The sequence below is a fragment of the Homo sapiens genome, chromosome 11, assembly GCF_000001405.40.
Source record: "Homo sapiens chromosome 11, GRCh38.p14 Primary Assembly".
NCBI classification, from domain to species: Eukaryota; Metazoa; Chordata; class Mammalia; order Primates; family Hominidae; genus Homo; species Homo sapiens.
Genome location: NC_000011.10, coordinates 45,566,144 through 45,585,699, shown reverse-complemented (window position 1 = coordinate 45,585,699; position 19,556 = coordinate 45,566,144). Strand labels below are relative to the sequence as shown.

The 19,556-nt window shown below is 50.0% G+C and overlaps 3 long non-coding RNA genes across 4 annotated transcripts; 2 read left to right on the top strand and 1 right to left on the bottom strand.

The window, feature by feature from the left end:
* Positions 1–2,224: 2,224 nt before the first annotated feature.
* LOC124902665 (uncharacterized) lies at positions 2,225–3,212 on the bottom strand. 2 transcript variants are annotated; one of them, XR_007062660.1, is made up of 2 exons: positions 2,971–3,212; positions 2,225–2,584 (listed from the first exon to the last, which is right to left on the bottom strand). It is a non-coding gene; the product is annotated as an uncharacterized LOC124902665 (long non-coding RNA). The 2 variants fall into 2 exon arrangements; XR_007062661.1 differs by having other exon boundaries at positions 2,225–2,518; positions 2,971–3,206.
* A 71-nt stretch (positions 3,213–3,283) lies between these two features.
* LOC105376656 (uncharacterized) lies at positions 3,284–7,360 on the top strand. Its single transcript, XR_931247.2, has 3 exons — positions 3,284–3,561; positions 6,072–6,227; positions 7,274–7,360. It is a non-coding gene; the product is annotated as an uncharacterized LOC105376656 (long non-coding RNA).
* A 205-nt stretch (positions 7,361–7,565) lies between these two features.
* LOC105376655 (uncharacterized) lies at positions 7,566–16,357 on the top strand. Its single transcript, XR_931246.1, has 3 exons — positions 7,566–7,650; positions 8,336–8,431; positions 15,609–16,357. It is a non-coding gene; the product is annotated as an uncharacterized LOC105376655 (long non-coding RNA).
* Positions 16,358–19,556: the final 3,199 nt, after the last annotated feature.

The window sequence follows — 19,556 nt, the reverse complement described above, 5'->3', positions numbered from 1 at the left end:
ATTTCCTCCAGTCTAACCTTGGAGAATGTGGATTTGCCTTTATTAAGGAAAATGACATTTCCTTACACAGATGGTGCCTTCTTGGCACTTCTGTAGCCCTAAATAAGTGTTTGCGGTTTTGGGGATAAAGACATTTCCATGAAAGAAAGTGGAGAAACTCCTAACTGTAACTGAGGGTGGAATAAGATAGAGCTAGACGAAAGCACATGTGCTGTGCCTACAGGAGTGCATGATGAAGTCTGACAGGTAAGCAGGGAAGGCTGCCTGCAAGAGGTGGCATTTTAGTTGCTCCTGAAAGGGTGGACTGGGTAAAGCATGGGGCTCAGGGCACTCCTTCTAGGGAAAACTCTGGTGTGGTAGAACGGATTGGAGTCAAATAGCCCTGGGCTTGATTCCAAGATCTTCCCCAGACTAACTACCTGACCCTGGATAAGTCACTGCACCTTCGTTTCCACTTCTGTAACATGGGCAACGAGGCAGGGGGCTGCCTCTGGCAGGTTTAGAGGGAGAGTCTCCCTAGGGTCCACATGGTGTGACACCCCCCATTTCTCCTGTGTGAGTGAGAAGCTTTCCGGGAGATCAGCTCCAAGTTGTGGGATGAAGAGCCATTGGGCTTAAGGTCCTGTCTTGGGCTCAGTTCCCTCAAGAAAAGCCTGGCTGGTGACCCTTACACACGTGGTTTATCGAGGGAGGACTCTTAGGGGACAGAAGAGGACAGGCAGAAGAAGGTAGGCAAGGCTGTGGTCCCACAGAGAGCTATGGAGCAGGAATTGCATCACACAGTTTGTCCCGCCTGGTGGCAAGAGGGTTTCCCTGTTCTACAGTCAGTCATTGGCTATGGGCTGCCTCTGGGGTGCAGGGAGGTAACCTCCCAGCCTTCTCTGAGTGAGGCAGCTCCTGTCAGCTGAGGACAGTCCTTCAGAGAAGGGCTGCAGGTATGAGCAGCCAGTACCTCTGGGCGGAGCAGCCAGCACCTGCGACAGGCCCCTCGGCTTTGGGGAAGTGGTTGCAACCTTCTCCCGCTCCCGTGGCTTCCAGTCTTAAGCACTGGGTTGACCTGGAGAAGGGAAAGAGCCACAGGAGGGCTCAGGGGACCTCATCCTTTCCCTGTGGGGGAGTCGGACCTCAAGGGGTGGCCCTTCTGCTACCCAGTGGGCTGTGAGCAAAGGGTAAAGAATGGGCCTTGGCACAGCCAGGCAAGCATGCAGCTGGCAGGAGCCGGTGGACCCGGTCTTCAGGAGCCCATAAACCAGACAAATGAATATTTGATAGAAATATAATTCCAGAGGATGAGGGCCCTTGTTGGCCCGACGGTGAAATACAATGGCTGTCTGACCTCGCGGAGGGATAAATCTGCCCAGAGTGCTTTCCAGCCCGAGACGTGGAAGCCCCTCTGATGCAGCTTTTGGGAGAGCTTAAACACTTAATGTGGGGATATTTATTGTCTGGTGGAGCACTGGGATTACAAGGTCGTCCTGGTCACAGCTCCTCACCCTGCCCCAGGCGCGCCTTGCTGCCATCCTGGTACCCCGGGGCTGCCTGCTGCTGCGTGGCTAGAACGACCAGAGGCCAGCACTGAGAGGGAGCAGAGGGAGCACCTACCTTTGCCTGCTGGGCCTTGTTAAAGGACAGGGAGCCAGATAGCGGAATGGTTTCCAGCAGGGGGAGGGATCAGGTAGATCTAGGTGAGGATCCTTGGGTAGGTTACCTACCTGCTTTGGACTCGGCTTCTTCAACCATAAAATGGGCTAAAACTTAACCTACCTCATAGGGCTGCAGGGATGGTTAGGTGGGCAAATGCACCTAAAGTGCTTAACATCGTGCATGGCTCATAGTCAGTGCTCAGTGAAGGTCAGCTACTATCAGAGCATCTCAATAATCTGTCTCTAGGTTTAACACTGGCTAGCTGTGTGTCCTTGGGCAAACCACACAAGCCCCAAAGCCTCAGTTTCCTCTTCTATAAAATTGGAGAAGCATACCTACTTGATTGGTATAAAGGTTATAGAAATTGAATGCCAAGAACCTGGCCTAGGTAGGTGCTCTGTAAGTAGTGGTGGAGGTGGAGGTGGTGACAGTGATGATGAAGCCAGAAAGAGATGATAATAATATGAGGCTAAGCCCTTCCCTGTGTAAGGCCTGGGTTAACCTCCCCCCCAGCACACTGGGTCACCTTAGTGATCCTTTGTATTAGTTATCGATTGCTGCATAACAAATCACCCCAAAATTTAGAGGATTAAAACAACAGTAATTATTTATTATCTCCAACAGTTTCTGGGGTCAGAAATTCTGACAGGTCACAGCAGAATGGTTTCATGATGTCTGGGACTGCAGCTGGAAGACTTGAAGACTGTGGGCTGGAGTCTGAACCCTCATATCTGGTGGTTGGTGTGGGCTCTCCATGGGGACCTAGCTGGGGCTGTTGGCTGGAACACCCACATGTGGTCTCTGCGGTGCCCTGGGCTTTCTCACAACATGGCAGCTGGATTCCAAGGAAAAGCATCTTGACAGAGGGAGAGAGCTGGGGGAGCCACATTGCCTTTTATGACCTACACTCAGAAGTTATAGGGCATCAATTCTGCCACACCTATTGATTGAGAAAGTTATAAAGGTCACTCAAAGTTCAAAGGGAAGGAGTGTAGACCCACATCCTGATGGAAGCCAATATCATATTGCAAGAAAAACATGAGGGATGGGATATTTCTTTGTATGGCTATTTGGGGAAAAGGCAATCTCTCACACACTCCTTTTTCTGGTCTCTTGTACCAGAACCATTCATTCCAAAGTGACAGACCCTAGTCCAGCAGAAATAGGAGGAAGGTGGCAGCAGGAAGTTATCCTACCCCTCCTCTGCCCCATCAGTGGGAAATTCCTGCTCTGGAGTCTGTGCCTCTTTTTGGTGTGGGAGCTGCACACAGCTGGGCTCCAGATTCTAGTTCACAGGTGCTGGGATGGCAGAGGGGCAAGAATTACCTGGGATGAGGGGTTCTCCTTCAACCCTGGACTTTGACATGAACCTGCATGAGCAGATGTTTCTGTCACCAGTGATTACCCTATATTGCTCTTAGTATCTCATAGAGAACACTTCGTTCACAGAATGTCATCCAAAAATGGTGAGCTTCAAGTTCTAGAAGCCCTTGGCCAGGCTTTCCATCGCCCTACTGCTGCCTTCAGCCCACACATTCCCTCTTATGGCTCACGGAATCTCTAAGTCTTACAGATTTGATCTCATTGTTAACATCCACATTCTCACTCTTCCCTGTCTCCATGGTCACTGCCTCAGGCATGGTCACCTCTCTTCCAGTGGCCTCCTCTTCCTAATTGGCCTCTCTGTCCCAAAGTTTTTTTCCTCTCCCATTTATCCCCCTGTGCCAGTGCAGTCTTCCCAGAGCTTAGCACCAAGCTGCCACCTGCCCAGCCATTGGCTCATTGTCTGGAATACTCTCCCTCCAGCCTTTTCCTGGTTCACTCCTAATTATCTCTGCTATCACAGCTTGGTCTCCAAGTCCTTCTCCTGTGTGCTGCCTCAACAACCAAGGCATCCTCCAGAATCCTGCCTATCAGGTTGTGTTACTGGGCAGTTACCATGTGCCCAGCATTGAGCTAAGGGTTTCCCATACCGACAACCCCCCCGGTTCCTCTCCATCCTCCTCCTCCACTTTGTCTTCTTCCCAGCAGTGAGTACTTTTGAAAGGTGTATCACCTAGGTATTTAGGAACTTATTGTCTCTCTCCTCTTCTAGATTAGAAGATTTGTGAGAGCAAGAATAGAAGGCTGTCAGTAATTGCCTACTGAATAAAGGAATAGACCTGGCATTTGGGGTATTTTGTCCTCAGTAGAGACTGATATCACCCTGGCTCATTGATTCCATCACACTGGGAAATAGTGGAGGAAGATAGGAAAGAGACTATGTCCTTTGATCCACAGGGTACTAAACTGTGGGTACTGTTTGATCAACAGGGTGCTGAACTCATGTTCCCTCTGAAGGGACTGATTTTTTTTTTTGAGTCTCACTCTGTTGCCCAGGCTGGAGTGCAGCCGTGTGATCTTGGCTCACTGCAACCTCTGCCTCTGAGGTTCAAGTGATTCTCCTGCCTCAGCCTCCCAAGTAGCTAGGATTACAGTCATCTGCCACCATGCCCAGCTAATTTTTGTATTTTTAGTGGAGATGGGGTTCCACCATGTTGGCCAGGCTGGTCTCGATCTCCTCACCTCAAGTGATCCACCCGCCTTGGCCTCCTAAAGTGCTGGGATTACTGGCATGAGCCACCGAGCCTGGCTGGGAATAATTTTTTGATGCTCTCTTGTTGTAAGAAACCATTCCCCAGTACCATATAGTTATCTGTACCTTACCAAGTGCTTCCCCATCTCACCTGAGCCTCTCCATGACATCAGGAAATGGGAAGGACAGTGATATCCTTCCAGTCTTATAGATAAGGAGATTGAGACTTAGGGAGGCTAAGGGGCTGACCTAGAATGACACAGCTTTAATGGCAGAACTGGGAACTAGGACTCCTGACTCCTTGCTGCGGGCTCTTTCTCCTTCATTCCACTCAATCTCCTCCTGGGCCACATACATGTAAAATCTCAGAATGTCCTAGTTGGTTGGAATCTTAGAGATTGTATTTCCCAGTGCCTCATTGCATAGATGGGAAGATTGAGGCCCCCAAAGGGAGAATTAGCTGCCCAATTCCCCGTGACTAGCAAGTGGTGAGCATAGGCTAGAACCTAGCTATCTTGGCTTGAAGCCAGGTCCCAGAGGGGTGAGTTCACCACCAGGAATCAGCCTTCTGGTGTGATCAATCTGGGGCCTAGCACAAAAGGGTTAGCTGTCATAGCCTAAAGGTCATTTTTACAGAAAAGTGTTATGATATGTTCTTGGCCTAAACACTTCTCCCCAAATCCTGGCCAGCTGAGCAGACGGGCATCTATCACTGGCATAACAAGGAGGCTGTGGGAATCTTGGATCAGGCATTCCACATAGAAATGGCTAGGAACATCCACGCAGGGAAACACTAATGTACCTAGTGCTCCGGCAGAGCACTTAAGTGAAGGAACAGGAATGTCAGCTGCAACCAGGCACCATTTCAGCACTCAGGACAGTTCCGAGGTGGGCCGTTACCCGTCCATAGCAATCAGAGATCTGGAGAACTTTATAATCAGAAGCCTGGCCTCCAAGGGGTTCTCTGATGGACAATCACTGACTTTCTGGGGGAAAAATCAGAGGTGTTCACAGAAGCAAGGTATGACTTAATTTTGTGGCATTTTGTTGCCATTTGGATTTTTAGGAACTTAAGATAAAGAGAAGTGATAAGGTTTGGCTGTGTCCCCACCGAAATCTCATCTTGAATTGTAACCCCCACAATTCCCATGTATCATAGGCGAAACCTGGTGGGAGGTGATTGAATTATGGGGGCGGGTCTTTTCTGTGCTCTTCTCATGATAGTGAATGAGTCTCACAACATCCGATGGTTTTAAAAACGGGAGTTTTTGGCCTGGCGTGGTGGCTCACGACTATAATCCCAGCACTATGGGAGGCAGAGGAGGGTGGATCACTTGAGGTCAGGAGTTCGAGACAAGCCTGGCAAATATGGTGAAACCCTGTCTCTACTAAAAGTACAAAAATTAGCCAGATGTGGTGGCGCATGCCTGTAATCCCAGCTCCTCAGGAGGCTGAGGCAGGAGAATTGCTTGGACCCAGGAGGCAGAGGTTGCAGTGAGCCGAGATCGTGCCACTGCACTCCAGCCTGGGTGACAGAGCGAGACTCCATCTCAACAAAACAAAACAAAACAAAACAAAACACACACACACACACACACACACACACACACACACGGGAGTTTCACTGCACAAACTCTTTGCCTGCTGCCATGATTATGAGGTCTTTCCAGCCACTGGAACTGTAAGTCTAACAAACTCTTTTTCCTGTATAAATTACCCTGCCTCGGGTATGTCTTTATCAGCAGTGTGAAAATGGACTAATACAAGAAGCATAATACTTGAAGAATGAAATAATTGTTTTGGAGTAAGCTTGAGTAATGATCATTCAAAACTTCTCCTCTCCACACTATAGCCTGTAGGAGAAGGAGGAGAAGAAGGAAGGATACAGGATGAGAATCAGAGGATGAAAAAGAACAGATAGGGCCCCAGAGAGGAGAGATGGAAGCACACAGATGGAGAGAAGTTGAAAGACAGAGAGAAAGAAGTGGGATGAGAGCCTGGAATAAAGGTATGGAAGGAGAGTCCATCAGTTCTAGAGTATTATTACATTCTGTCCGTCACCCTGACATTCACATGGGCCCCAAGCTGTTTGTCAGGATTCCCTCTTATTGCCTTCCTTTAGAATGTAGTGAGTAGATGAACCACCTTTTGAAATTCTTCAACTGTTCATTATGCTTAAGGCTCCAGAAACTCCACCCTGATTAGAACTATGGTAGCAGTCTATCAAAACAGAGTCTTCCCTGGTGCTGCCATCAGCAAAGATTTCAGTAAGAGCCAAAACGACTCAGGAAGTGTGTTGGATTTAGCCTGAATCTCCTATCCTTCATTTCTGATGATGAGAAACTGACCTGTGGAGGGCTGATATCTAGTGGCTACTGTTGAGGACACGAGGAGAAGAACTGTCCCTACGGGGTCACTCAGTGCAGGGACAAACAGGCCAGACGTCTCAATGGCCCTAGAGATCGACAGAGAGCTGTGGCAGATGCTCATAGCAGTGGTCCCAATGCATCAATATTATGGATTAAATAGCATTTGATAGTCTCTGTTTAAGAAGGTGGGAAGATGTGAAATATCCTCTAGAAACATTTCCATCAACATAATTAAAATAAAAAAGCTTTAAGGTGTTTAAGTTTCTGTTATCTGAAGAATTCACTCATGTGTAATACATCACTGCCCACATATTCTGGACAATAAGGTATGTATTCTTAGCCAAAAGGGCTCATGCTATTATAATGAATTCTAAGTAATTAATCTGAGCTGTGGAATATAGTAATGATGCAATGTGGTATGAAAGGGAATTAATATTCTGTGTTTCTATCACTTGCCAGGCATAGTGCCAGGGGCTTTACATGCTGTGATAGATTAGATTATTGTTTAGCAAATACGCACTCCCCTCTCCTTGGAGGCAGTGCCTTTTCCCCACCTTATTATGTTGGGCTCAGTCACGTGACTTGGTTTGGCCAATAGGAGGTGGGTGGAAGTGACAATGGTCCTGTTCCCAGCTGAGTCCAGAAGAGGCAGTGCTTGTTCTTGCTTGTCCCCCTTGCATTCCAGTGGCTCCACCATGAGAAGAGCAGGACCCTTCAGTGTGGGCCCCGTCTGAGTCCAACCCACATGCACAAGCCACCCAGCTGAACTTGGGCTGGATCACTGAACCTTAGTCATCCTGCAGACCTGTGAGTTTGAGAATAAAGACTTGGTATTGTCAGGCACTGATTTCGGGGGTTGTTGGTTTTTCAGCCTTGTTTAGCAATCACTGATGGATACAACATGCATTGTCTCATTTAGTCCTTGTAACAGCTCTCTGAAGTAGGGCGCCATGATTTTTCCCATTTCACAGGCAACTCAGGCCCAAAGAGAGGATGTGCTTAACCCCAGGCCACAGAGCGAGTTAACTAGTGATGGACCCACATTTAGCTCATCCTTATTTGGTAAGTAAGGTAGGAGCTGCTTGGCCCTCCCCAGCTAGCCCCTGCTTGCTGCTCCCCTCACCAATCCTTCCACTGACTCAGAGCTTCAGGAGTGGGGGTGGGGTATCAGGGAAGCTGCAGGGAGAACATACGAAGCTCCTTTCAAAGAGCCAGCAGGGGCTCCCCGCCCTGTGGTTACTGGAAAAGGTCACATTTGGCGATTCAGCCCACAGAACAATGACATTTCAAGGATCAAAGGAAAGGTTAAAATATTCCTATAAATCTATTCTTGGGACTTTTAAGTATTTCCAATGTAAAAGGAAAATGTCATTTCTTTTTCCCCCAGGAGTGGTGGAGGGTGGGCTGCTGGTAATGGATCCACTCTCGTTTTTTCTGGGGAGGATGAGCCAGGAGGAAGGAAGGATTCACTCCCCATCCCTCCCTATGCAAATGGAGGTGTGATTAACCCCAAAGCTTATTTACTTATGAAAATTGAATCCCAAATTCCCCCTGAGAAGAGCTTCCCCAAGGGGAGAAATGGACAGTGTCAAATTCCGGAGCTCTCCTGCTCCTTCTCTCCAGAGCAGCCCATGGGCAATGCTGGCAAGGAGGCCTCCAGAGCTGGGATAGGGATGAGCTGGGCAGGGGCAGGGAGGGCCAGACCCCCTGGCAGACCACCTCCCTGAGCTTTGATCCTTATGCACAGCTCCCTGGCGCATTCATGTGGATGAGTCTCAGGATTTCTAAACCCAGCAGAGCCCAGACGGACACATCATCTTCTCCTCTTGGAGTTCATGTCTTGGTGAGCGGACTCACACTCCTTCACCCATGCATTCTGCAAACACACACTGAGTGGCCTCCGAGTGTCAGGCACTGCACCAGGCACCAGGATAACAAGGGATGGGGACTCCTGGCCTTGGGCAGTTTGTAGACTATTTGGGAGACAAGCCAAGAAAGGGACAAGGACCCTGTTGTGGGTGAAGGACTAACACATTTGTGAATCAGATGCTGGCACAAGCCAGGGAAAGGGGTGACTAATTCTGCAAGGAAGTTGGGGAAGATTTCCCAGGGGAGTCACTATTTGAACTGCGGCCAGTCCCAAAAGGGCACTCTTGGCAGAGGGGGTGCTGTGCACAGAGCTTGGAGTCCCAGCAGCCACGGCTGGCTGGAGACTTGCTGCGGCGCAACTGCCCTGCACCACAGGAAAACAGGTGTGTCCTAATGGCATCGCAACCCACTTTCCATGAGGGGACTGGGTTGCCTGTGTTGGGGGCTGCACCCCACAGTGTGCCAGAAGACACCGCTATTCATAGTCCCCAAGCTATCACTTGCCTCCCACTTCCTATCAGTCACCAAGCCCTGTCTCATCTGCCTCCCGAACACCTCTTGTTGCTGTCTCCCTCCCTCCCTGCCCATGGCCGCCCCGGTCAGGGCCTCGGCATCCCCATGGGTCTGCCTGTTGGCAGTCTCCCTCCCACCCCAGTGCACATTGCAGCAACGAGAATGGACACACAGAAGTGCCAGTGTGGCATTTTACTCCCCGTGGAAATCCCTTTCATGGCCCCTCAGGCCCCAAAGAGAAGGTTCAGTTCCTGAGGATCATGTCCAGAGCCCTTCGTGGCTGGAATCCCTGCCTCACCAGCCTCATGGGGCTCCTATATGTCCCACGCCCACCCCAGCCCCTCTGAACCACCAGTTGCAGGGACTCATCAGGTCCCTTCCAGCCTCCTTCTCTTTGCTTGTGCTGTGTCCTCCACCTGGAATTTGCTTCCTTCCAGCTTGTCTGCCTAATGAACTCCCACTCAGTGATCAAGCCCCAGATGAGCAAATAATGTAATAGGAATGAATACAATGACTACCATTTATTGTCCACCCTTCCGGTCCCTCTCTAGTGCTTACGCTGCTTATTTTCATAGTATCTAAAATGTTATTTTTTATATATAAGGCTTGTCTGTTGTCCATCTCTCCCATCAGAATGAGCACTTTGAGGGCACGACATGGTTTTCCTGTGTCCCCAGTATCCAGAGTCATGGCTGGCACTGAGCAGGAGATCAGAAGGGTTGGTGGATCCAGTGCTATAAAGCACCATCCTATAAAGTGTTCATCATTCTTATCTCCCTTCTACCAATGGGGAAACTGAGGCTTTGGCCGCAAGGGCTTTGGGAGCTACCTCAGTGCTCCATTGCCAAGCTTGTTCCTGGGAGCCCCTCGAGGGCAGGGGCAGTGACTCATTCCCACCAGGATCTCCTGGATCCTCAGGAAGGACTCTGCACATGGGTGGTGGAGGGCTCCTGGCAGTGGCAAGGGATTCTGAGATAAGGAAAAGGGGTGGCTGGGATAGTTTGGGGGGGGACATCCCAGCTAGTTAAGGCTTGGCTTTGCAGAGCCTGTTTCTAGGCTTTGAATTGAATGCACTGATGGTTCCCACTCATTCCTAATTGGCACCAAATTATGTGGAGTGGGCTGGCTGTGCTGCCCGGCTCGGCTCAGCGAGGGCAAAGGCGGCTGCTGGTATCAATAAAAGAGTTGACGTCAGAGATAGAGTAGGGATTTTCAGGGCAGCATGGGGTTGTGGAGGAAGCCCTGGGCTGGGAGTCCTTAGTCCTTCATCTGGGGCAGGGGCAGGAACCCAGGCTTTGGGTTTGGCAACACCCCGGCTGTGTGGCCTTGGCCAGGCCATTCATCTTTCTGAGCCTCAGTCACTTTATCTCTAAAATGGGGGTGGCCATCCCCCCCGCATCTCAGGCTTGCTGGGAGGTAAAGACTGCTGCTTTTCTGTGGGTGCCACATCTACACCCTCTGCTGCATAATGGGGTGAGGGGTGAGCCTGGCTAGGGGAGCCCTTCAGACCTGGATGGGAAGCAGGGCAGGGTCAGCTGCCTTCCTGGTTTTCATTTCATCTGCCCTCAGAGGGCTCCACGCTTCTCCTTCCTGCCCACCTGCTGAAGCTGAGTGCACATTCTTTGCCAAGACTTTTGAGCACTGGGGCCTCTCCCTGGAGCAAGGTTCTGAGTGCAGGGCAGGTACCACTCTTGCTAGTGAACGTTTCACCAGCTCTAACAGGGCGAGGGGCACTGTTGTAGGAGCCACAGTCCTGAGTGTGTATCTCGGGTCATCCACTCCTCTGTGTCTCAGTTTCCCTGTATGTGAAATGAGGGGGATGGACTGGACGATCTCTATGGGCCCATCCAGCTCTGATTGAAGTTAATTCCTTGTTTCCTTTTATATTAAGCTTCCAGTTCCTACAAGTGGGCCTCTGGGAGGGACAGAGTTCGGTCAAAGGAATTCTCACAGAGGAGTCCTTGATTTATAGCTTCTTTCAGGGGTATTTGTTGTGCTTTATGTAAGAAAGGGGATTTCTTAACCCAAGGGGGTAACAGTGGGACTTTAGGTGGTGAACAAATTGGAACATTTGAGGTATGAGGGAACAGAGACACAGATGGAGAGGAGGCAGGGCCATGCAGGCAGAGACGGGACAGATGGCGAGGACCCACTGTCAGCCATGGGTGGGACCAGGGACAGTGCAGGAGGTGATGGAGATGAGCAAGGTGTCTGCAGGAGGTGCTGGAAATTGCACAAAGTCACTGTCCAGGTGAAGAGCTGGGGTTATAGCTTTGGACAGTGGGGCTGGGTTCTGGGAAGCAGTGATCTTGAATCAGTGTTGGGGTCTGCTTAGCTATTCAAGGACAGAGTGTGGGCTTTAGAGTCTCGCAGCCATGGGTTCTACTCCTGGCCCTGCCACTGACTGGCTGTGTGACATTGCATAAGTTACTTAACCTTTCTGAGGCTATGACAGGGAAAACCAACCCCCCTCACAGGATTGTCATGGAGAGTCCATGAAATAACAAATGTGAAAAGCCTGGCACTGGCTTTGCACATCATAAGCCCCCAGTACGTGGTGGCAGTTATTGTCCTTCTAATTCCACGGAGGGAGGAAAAACTCACCCTGGGGACTGTCTCTGAGGCTTTTTGGGGACAGCAGCTTTTGCCTTTGTGTCTTAAAGACCTGTCAGGGCCATGTATCCTAGAGCAGAGGGCTGTTTTGGGAGCTGGAGACCCTCCTGGAGCCTCACAGTTTCCAGTGTGAGGGCGGCTGCCTCGCTTGCTTGGTAGGATCAGGTAGTGCAGCACTGGGGTGAGGTCACAGGCTCCACAGTCTGCCTGCCGGGGTTCGAATCCCAGTCACCTGCTGTGTGACCTTACGCCAGTCCCTTCACCTCTCTGATTCTCAGGCATTTCATCTGTTAAAGGGGGATGATGATAAAAACAGTCACCTGGTAGAACTAACCAAGAAGAAATGAATGGATATACACAAAGCATCTAGACCTGCACAGTAGAATAGGGCAACCACTTGGCCCCTCTGGCTCTTGGGCACTTGAACTGTGGCTTGTCCAAATTGAGTTGGACCATGAGACTAAAATACCCACCAGCTTTTGAAAACTTAGTATGAGAAAAATAGGAATGCATCTCTCCAATAATTTTTATATGGGTAACATGTTGAAATGATAATATTTTGGGCATATTTGGTTAAATGAAATATATTGTTAAGATGAACTTCACCTGGTTCTTTTTGCTTTTTTTAATGTGGCTACTGGAAAATTTCAGATTACAGTGCGTATGTGGCCTGTATTCTATTTCCATTGCTTAACAGTGATCTAGAGCAATGCAAGGCGTTTAGTAGGCATGATGTACATGTTTGCTGTTATTATTATTAGTTGTTGGGTTTGAGTACTACATTTACAGCTTCCTGGGTTATCTTGTGCAGGTTAACTTTTCTAAACCTCAGTTTTCCTCTCTGTAAAATGGGACTAATGGGATTATTGAAATTGTGCCTACAGAGTGTTTGGCACGGTGCCTGGCACATAGGAAGCTCTCAATCCATGTGAGCTGGCATACTGCTTGCTTATGGGATTGGAGGTGAGGCTCTCACCCCTCCTTGATGGGAGAGAGGCTTCTCTGTTACCCCCGGGTACTGTGGGTGGGGTGGAGCTTACTGAGCCTGCTCTCCCCACAAACGGGACCTGAGCTCTGAGTAAACTGCCTAGAGCCTGAGGTTGAGCTGTTTGGCCGGTTATATTAAGGGAAGGGTCAATAACACATTAATTGGATCAGTGGCTCCATTAATCTTCCTCTAATGAACAGCCATTCCAGCCAACCCGTCTTCCCTAGATCCTGGAAGACATTTCATATTGGCAGGAAACTTGCTGGGTAGAAAGAACCTCAAATCCTATAAAAGTGATTTAGTGGTTTTGCTTGGGGAAAGTGTGCTGCAGATGCAGGGTAGGGGAGAATTGAAACAGCAAAGTCACAGCAAACCTCTCCCTCTGGGGTCCCAGATCGAAATCCCAGGGAGTGCTGGGAAAGGTGGAGGATTTTGGGGAAGGTTGGAGGTGAGGGGAGGGTTGATCTCACCCTTGTCTAGCTTGGACACCCTCACCTCCAAATCAACAGATGGTTGGTGATGACAGAGACACGCTGGCCTGGAGGGCCCGGAGGGGTGATGATGGCTGTGGAGGGAGCCCTAGAGTGGGCACTGGAAGTCCTGGGCTGTATAACTGTGTACAGATTACTCAGCTGCCTCAATTGCAGGGGGCTTGCAAGTGATGTCAGGTCAGAGGAGCTTTGCTGGAGGGTGAAGTGGCAGTGGGCCTGGGAGAGTGCTGAGCTGGGATGGGGGCAGAGGAGGAGTAGCCTTGGGGAGGGTGTCCCTGGGGCCCCCAGGAAATGGGCAGAGCTGAGGAGGACCCTGTCTAGGTGGTTGTTTGACTTTGGAACCTCTCTTTCTTCCCTGCCCTAGTATCTCACCCTCTGCCCAAGGATGCTGTAGTTCAGCCATCAGCACTTCATTCTTTGATGGGGGAAGTGTCTTCTCCTGGACTCCAGGGGTCTGTTTTAAAACACAAATACCAGCTGGGCACAGTGGCTCACATCTGTAATCCCAGCACTTTGGGAGGCCAAGGCAGGCAGATCACCTGAGGTCAGGAGTTCGAGACCATACTGGCTAACATGGTGAAACCCGTCTCTACTAAAAGTACAAAAATTAGCTAGGCATGGTGGTGTGCACCTGTAGTCCCAGCTACTTGGGAGGCTGAGGCAGGAGAATCACTTGAACCCAGGTGGTGGAGGTTGCAGTGAGCTGAGATTGCACCATTGCACTCCAGCCTGGGCAATAGAGCTAGACTCCATCTCAAAAATAAATAATAAATAAATAGAACACAAATGCTTCCCGAGGGCTGCTCATTTCATTCTGTCCACCTGTTCATCCATCACCCACCAGAGGGAAACAGAAATGAATCCAACTCAGAACCACTCACCTTCAAGAAACTTTGGGGTTTTAGAGGACAGGGTGACTATTTTCATCTGGGGGTGGTGGGGAGGGGATTTAAATTAGGCCTTGGAAAGGAGCTTAAAGATCAGCAAGTCCAACTCTCCCATGTTACAGATGAGGAGAGAGAGAGGCACAGAGATAACACCTTAACTTAAGATGTTATCTTAAGGTTAAGTGGCCTGCCCGACGTCAGTATGGCTGGGCCAGCAGCGTGTGTAGGATTTGGCATTTCAGGTGAAGGGAAAAGCTTCAGCAAAGTTCCAGAAGAAGAAAATGGTGGAGCATGTGGAAAAGGCAGAAGGCAGTTCCATTTGACCAGGGTCTGGGGCCAGCTGAAGTGAGTTAAGGAGGATGCTGAGGCAGATGTTGTTCCCAAAGCCCTGGTTTGGCCAAAGTCAGCAAAGCCTCTGGGTAAGGTGGGGGTCCCAGCGGCCTGTGGAGAGCCCCTGTGCTCACACTTCCTGCCCCCCATAGTACTATGAGTTATTCCTCCTCCCAGTATCCCCACAGCCCCCGGCAGACTCCCTTGAGGTGGCCCACCCACCTGAGATGCCCATCTCAGCCTGGAAGGAACTAGTTTGCTTCCAGTCCCTTCGGCTCTGCGAATGGCACAGACCTTCCCCAGCTGAGTCACTCCGTGTCCCTAAGCCTCCCCTTGGTGAAGTAGGACCTCAGCCTGGCCCCCAGGGTTCTCCTGGTGATCCAGGGAGCAGCAGGTGAGGAGTTAAATATTTGAGGGAGGCAGATTGGACACTGTTATAACTATAATGGTAGCTCAGACTGATCAAGCACCTCCCAGGTGCCAGGCACTGTCCTCAGCACTTTCCAAGCATTCCTTCACTCAGCCTCAGATACCTGTATGGGGCAGGTGTTATTGGTACGTCCATTTTGCAGGTGGCTTTTGAGGCACAGAGAGGTAAAGTGACCTGTCCCAAGACACAGAGCTGTGCCACCCCCAGGTAGTCTGAGTTTGTGCTTTTATCTCCCCCAATGCCCCTGTGCATACACGCAGGCACCCACATATGCGCACATGCATGCACGCACACACCCATGCATACATGCACCCATAAGCCTATGTGTATTCACACACATGCACCCCTGCATGCACACACACACCCATGCATACATGCACCCATATGTCTATAGGCATTAACACACACACGCACCCCTGCATGCACACACACCCCCACGCATACATGCACCCATGTGCCTATGTGTGTTCACACATACACATTCACTCATACGTGCCTGCTTGGGCCCCTGGGTTGAGTTCCAAACCTCCAGAGCAGACCCCAGCAAATCCTCCAGGAAGAGCCATCAGGGCTGACTCTGGGCCAGGATGGTCCACAATCTTGGAAGCGGAGGTGACCCCTCATAGTGCTGCTTGGGAAATGGGCAGGAACAGGCAGGATGACTTGCCCAAGGTCTCAGTGTGAGAGAACAGCTTAATGAATCTGTTAGAAGTGAGACAAAGTCAAGTTCAGCATCACCTCTCCTCACTTTTGTTCCCACCAAAGACCAGCCACTCTGTCCCTTGAACGCCTCCCATGACAGGGTATTTCCTGGGAAGCCTCTTCTTGGATTAGCTCAGACCCTTCGAAAATTCTTCCTTCTACTGACCACAATCCTCCTCTTGTCTCTCCTACCACAGAGTCAGGTTAAGTCCACACAGCCAGATGCTCCCAACAGACCTGCAGCTGCCTGCAGATGGCCATCGTACCCCGGCCTCCCCATTTGCCAGCTGGTCTCTCAGTTGCCTCAGCCCTTCCATCTCCACTGAACAGGGTTCACAGCCCTTGCCCGCCAGGCACCCTTATCTGAAGAGCTCCAAGCTGGGGTGGGTTTGGTCTTCTCCTGACCTCCGTCCGCTTCCTGGGGCCTGGAACATCCTGAAGCTAGAACAAAACAGCTAAAGGCAGAAAAGGCGGCAAATACTCGTTCAGTCAGAAGACAGGAAGACTAGCAGGAGGCTGACTCTGCGAGTAAGACCCACTGGCTTTAGATTGGTGTTTCTTCCTGAGGCTGGGTCACACCAGGAAACCTTTGATCCCTCCCTTCCCCTCCTCCCCAGAACCTGGAGCTTCTGTCTCCCACAGCCAGCAGTGGAACCAGTGGTGGCTGAGTAACTGAGGAACTGCAGGAGAGCCTCCAAGAAGAAGTGGAGAGAGGAGAAAAAGAGAGAGGACAGTTGAACATTCTTCAGGATCCATATGAGTGTGAGCACATATCCTCATGTGCTGGCATTTGACTGACTGACAGGTTATGGAGGCCCAATCTCTCTTTGGCGATAAAGTGACAGAGGTCAGACCCGGATATAATCTGCCGGGTTGATTCCTATAGGAGCAAGAGGAGACAATCCCCTCCCTCCCTTTTTAGAACCCCATACTTCTGTGAATGCAACCTAAGGTCACACTGGCTTTTTAGTAGCTGCGTAATCCTGTTGACTCATTTTGCACTTAATGTTGAATAAAAAACTGTAAGATATTTTCTGTTTCTTGTGCCACTGAGCCAAGCTTTATGCCCATTCCAGCTCCCCTTCCCTTAATCATACCCTATTACAGTTTTCTATTGGGTTGTCCAAATCTGCTAGCCTGGACAGGATGGAGAACACAGGCCTGTGGCCAGTACGTGTGACTTCGCTTGAGTTGAGGCTGACATCCTACCTGGAGATCCTGCCATCACCTCACTCTTCCTCTTGCCCAGCCCAGCCCCAACCTTGTGTCCTTGCTGGGGCATCTTGAAGGGAACCCAACTAGGTCAAGGGCCCAACCTCTTCCTCCACCCTGCCATCACCCATCTCGGCATGAGCACAGGCTCTACTGAGCGGAGGCAGGAGGCGAGACTGGCAACACTTCTATTTTCACTCTGACATTTTCTGTTTCTGAAAAATCTCACTTGAAGCTCATTCTGATGTTTGCCATCCTTTGAAGGGGAAGGGCTGAGGGTCCCTCCCACCGTGGCTGGATTCTTCCTGAAGTTTGCCACTTTACCCCAAACCAGACCTTTCTGTCTAAACTCTAGGACAAGAGCAGTGGTGGAAAAGCCAAACCAAATCAAACAGAATAGGCCTTAGATGCCCCCAGAGGTGGGGCAAGAAGTAGGAGGGCCAAAAAGGGCCCCCAGAAGGTTCCTGTAGGCTCTACATGGAGATCAAATGGGGTTCAGCATGATCCTATCTGAATCTTCTGTTCTCGGGGGTTCTCAGGGTCTGTAGCTGAATGTGGCAGTCTCCCAGGTCTCACCAAGAAAAGGGCTACTTAGAGGAGGGAAGCTCCAGCGGGGAGACTTCAGCCTTGGAGACTTTAATTAGGGCGTTGGCGTTTCATTGGAAGGTTAGAGTGATTTCTACTCCTGGAGACATTAGGAGGCCCAGCAAATTCTATCACTGCTTTATAGTTTAGAAATACAATATAGATTTTACTGCAGGCTACGATGTCTTCCTTTAAACAATTGCTCAGCCCAATAAAGCAAAGCAGCTGGTAAAGCAGCTGCAGAGGGGCTGGGCAGGGCTTTCCATGGGAACACAAAGCTGTCTGGGAAGCTGTGGCCTCCCTTTCTGAGGGGGAGGAATCCAGACGCCTGGTTAACCTGTTTTGGGCCACACAGGAAATTGGGAATGGGTTTCTGAGAAATTCAAGATTTGAGATCTCATGGGGAGTAGGGAGGGTCCCCTCCCTTTCAAGAGTTTATTTCCATTTAATTCAGTAGTTATTCACTGAGCACCTACTATGTGCCAGGCCCGCAGAGAGGGTTGAGATTAATAAGGCACTGTCCTTGTCCCTGGATGGGAACAATGAATGATGCTGTTGGATACAAGCAGTGTGCAAAGCAGGTCGCAAGGCTGGCAGGGTAGAGAAAAGGGGAAGCAATTCTGCAAGGGCAGAATCCTGGAGGGCATCCTGGAGGACAGGACATATGAGCAAGGCCTTGAAGGATGAAAGGTTTTTAACCAATCCCCTTTCTGAAGCTGCAAATTTGCTTCGCCTTGCATCTTCTTTATCTTAACTAAGTGGCTCTGCCATTGTCTCAGGATTACCAAGCTAGAAACTTGAGAGACTCATCACTGACATCCACCTGTCACCAAGTCCTGTTGATCCTACCACCAAAACATATGTCAAATCTGATCCCTTCTCTTCATGTCCACTGTCATGCCCTGGCCCAAGGCCCCATCACCACTTGCCTCGATGCCTCAGTATCTTCTTTAGTAGATATTTGTTGTTTAGGGCCACCCAGCCTTCTGTCACTGTATTTCCCATCATAGCCCCTGTTTGTCATCTGGGGGATGCACCTCCTCCTCCTTCAAGTCATGTGGTTCCAAGGAAGCTGCCTCCATCCTGGCTCCAAAGGTGAGGCCTATGACCCAGGCCAGGCCAGTGATTTCTTCCATTCCTCTGGCCACAGTGATTGGTTCAGGGTTAGGAACATGACTGAAATCAGACCAATCAGATCCAATAAGACTCAATTCCAGGACTTGAATATGTTATCAGGGAGGCAGCATCAGCTTTTTCCTGGCTATGTCTGGACAGGAGTGGATATGGGATGGGAGCTATGGCAGCCGCTTGCCCCATGCAGCATAATCCTGAGGTTAGGGAGGAAATGGAGCCACCAAGAGTAAAGAGGGACAAGAGATGGAGGGAAAGAAATAGGGTCATGGCAGCATTATTTGAACCCTGATCAAGCCTTACCTGGATCCTTTCCCTATCCCTGAGCTTTCAGCTCCACCTGTCAATAAATTTGGGTTGAGTTTTGAAATAATGATGTAGTTCTTAGACTCTCCCCACACTCTCTCCTGCCCTTCCCAAATGTCTTACACACCATAGACTGTGTATGTAAAGCCCTTTAGTCCCTGCCCATTGCCATAAACATAAAATCCCCCAATTTAAAAAATGGTCCATGAGTCCCAGCACAACCTCAGCCTCACCTCTTTCTGTCTCATTCACTGCAATCCACTGTGCTGGTTTCCTCTTAGTTTTTCAAATATGCCAGATCTTGTCCAGCAGAGTCTTCCCACACACTATGACCTGTGTCCTCACCCTACACCTGGTGGGTTCCTATTCATCCTCTAGATCCCATCTCAAAGAGCCCTGTTCCAAATGCAGTTAGTCCCCTGCTGCTTTTATTCTTCATGACACCTGACATGATTCACAGTCCTGTGCATACTCTTGCGTCTGTGTGAATGTTGCATCTTCCATGCAGTGTATAGTCCCTGAGGCCTGAGCCAGGCTGGTCTTGTTCACTACTCTGTCACTTATGCCTGGAAGAGCTCCTGGCACATTATAGAGGCTCAACAGGTTTTTGTTTTTCATTTCTTGAAACACAGTCTCACTTGGAATGCAGTGGCACAATCTTGGCTCACTGCAACCTCCCCCTCCTGGGCTCAAGCAATCCTTCCACCTCAGCCTCCCTAGTAGCTAGGACTACAAGTATGCACCCTCACGCCCAGCTAGTTTTTATATTTTTAGTACAGATGGGGTTTTACCATGTTGGCCAGGCTGGTCTCTAACTTCTGACCTCAAGTGATCCTCCTGCTTCGGCCTCCCAAAGTGCTGGGATCACAGGTGTGAGCCACTGTGCCCTGCCGGTATTTTTTTTGATGGAG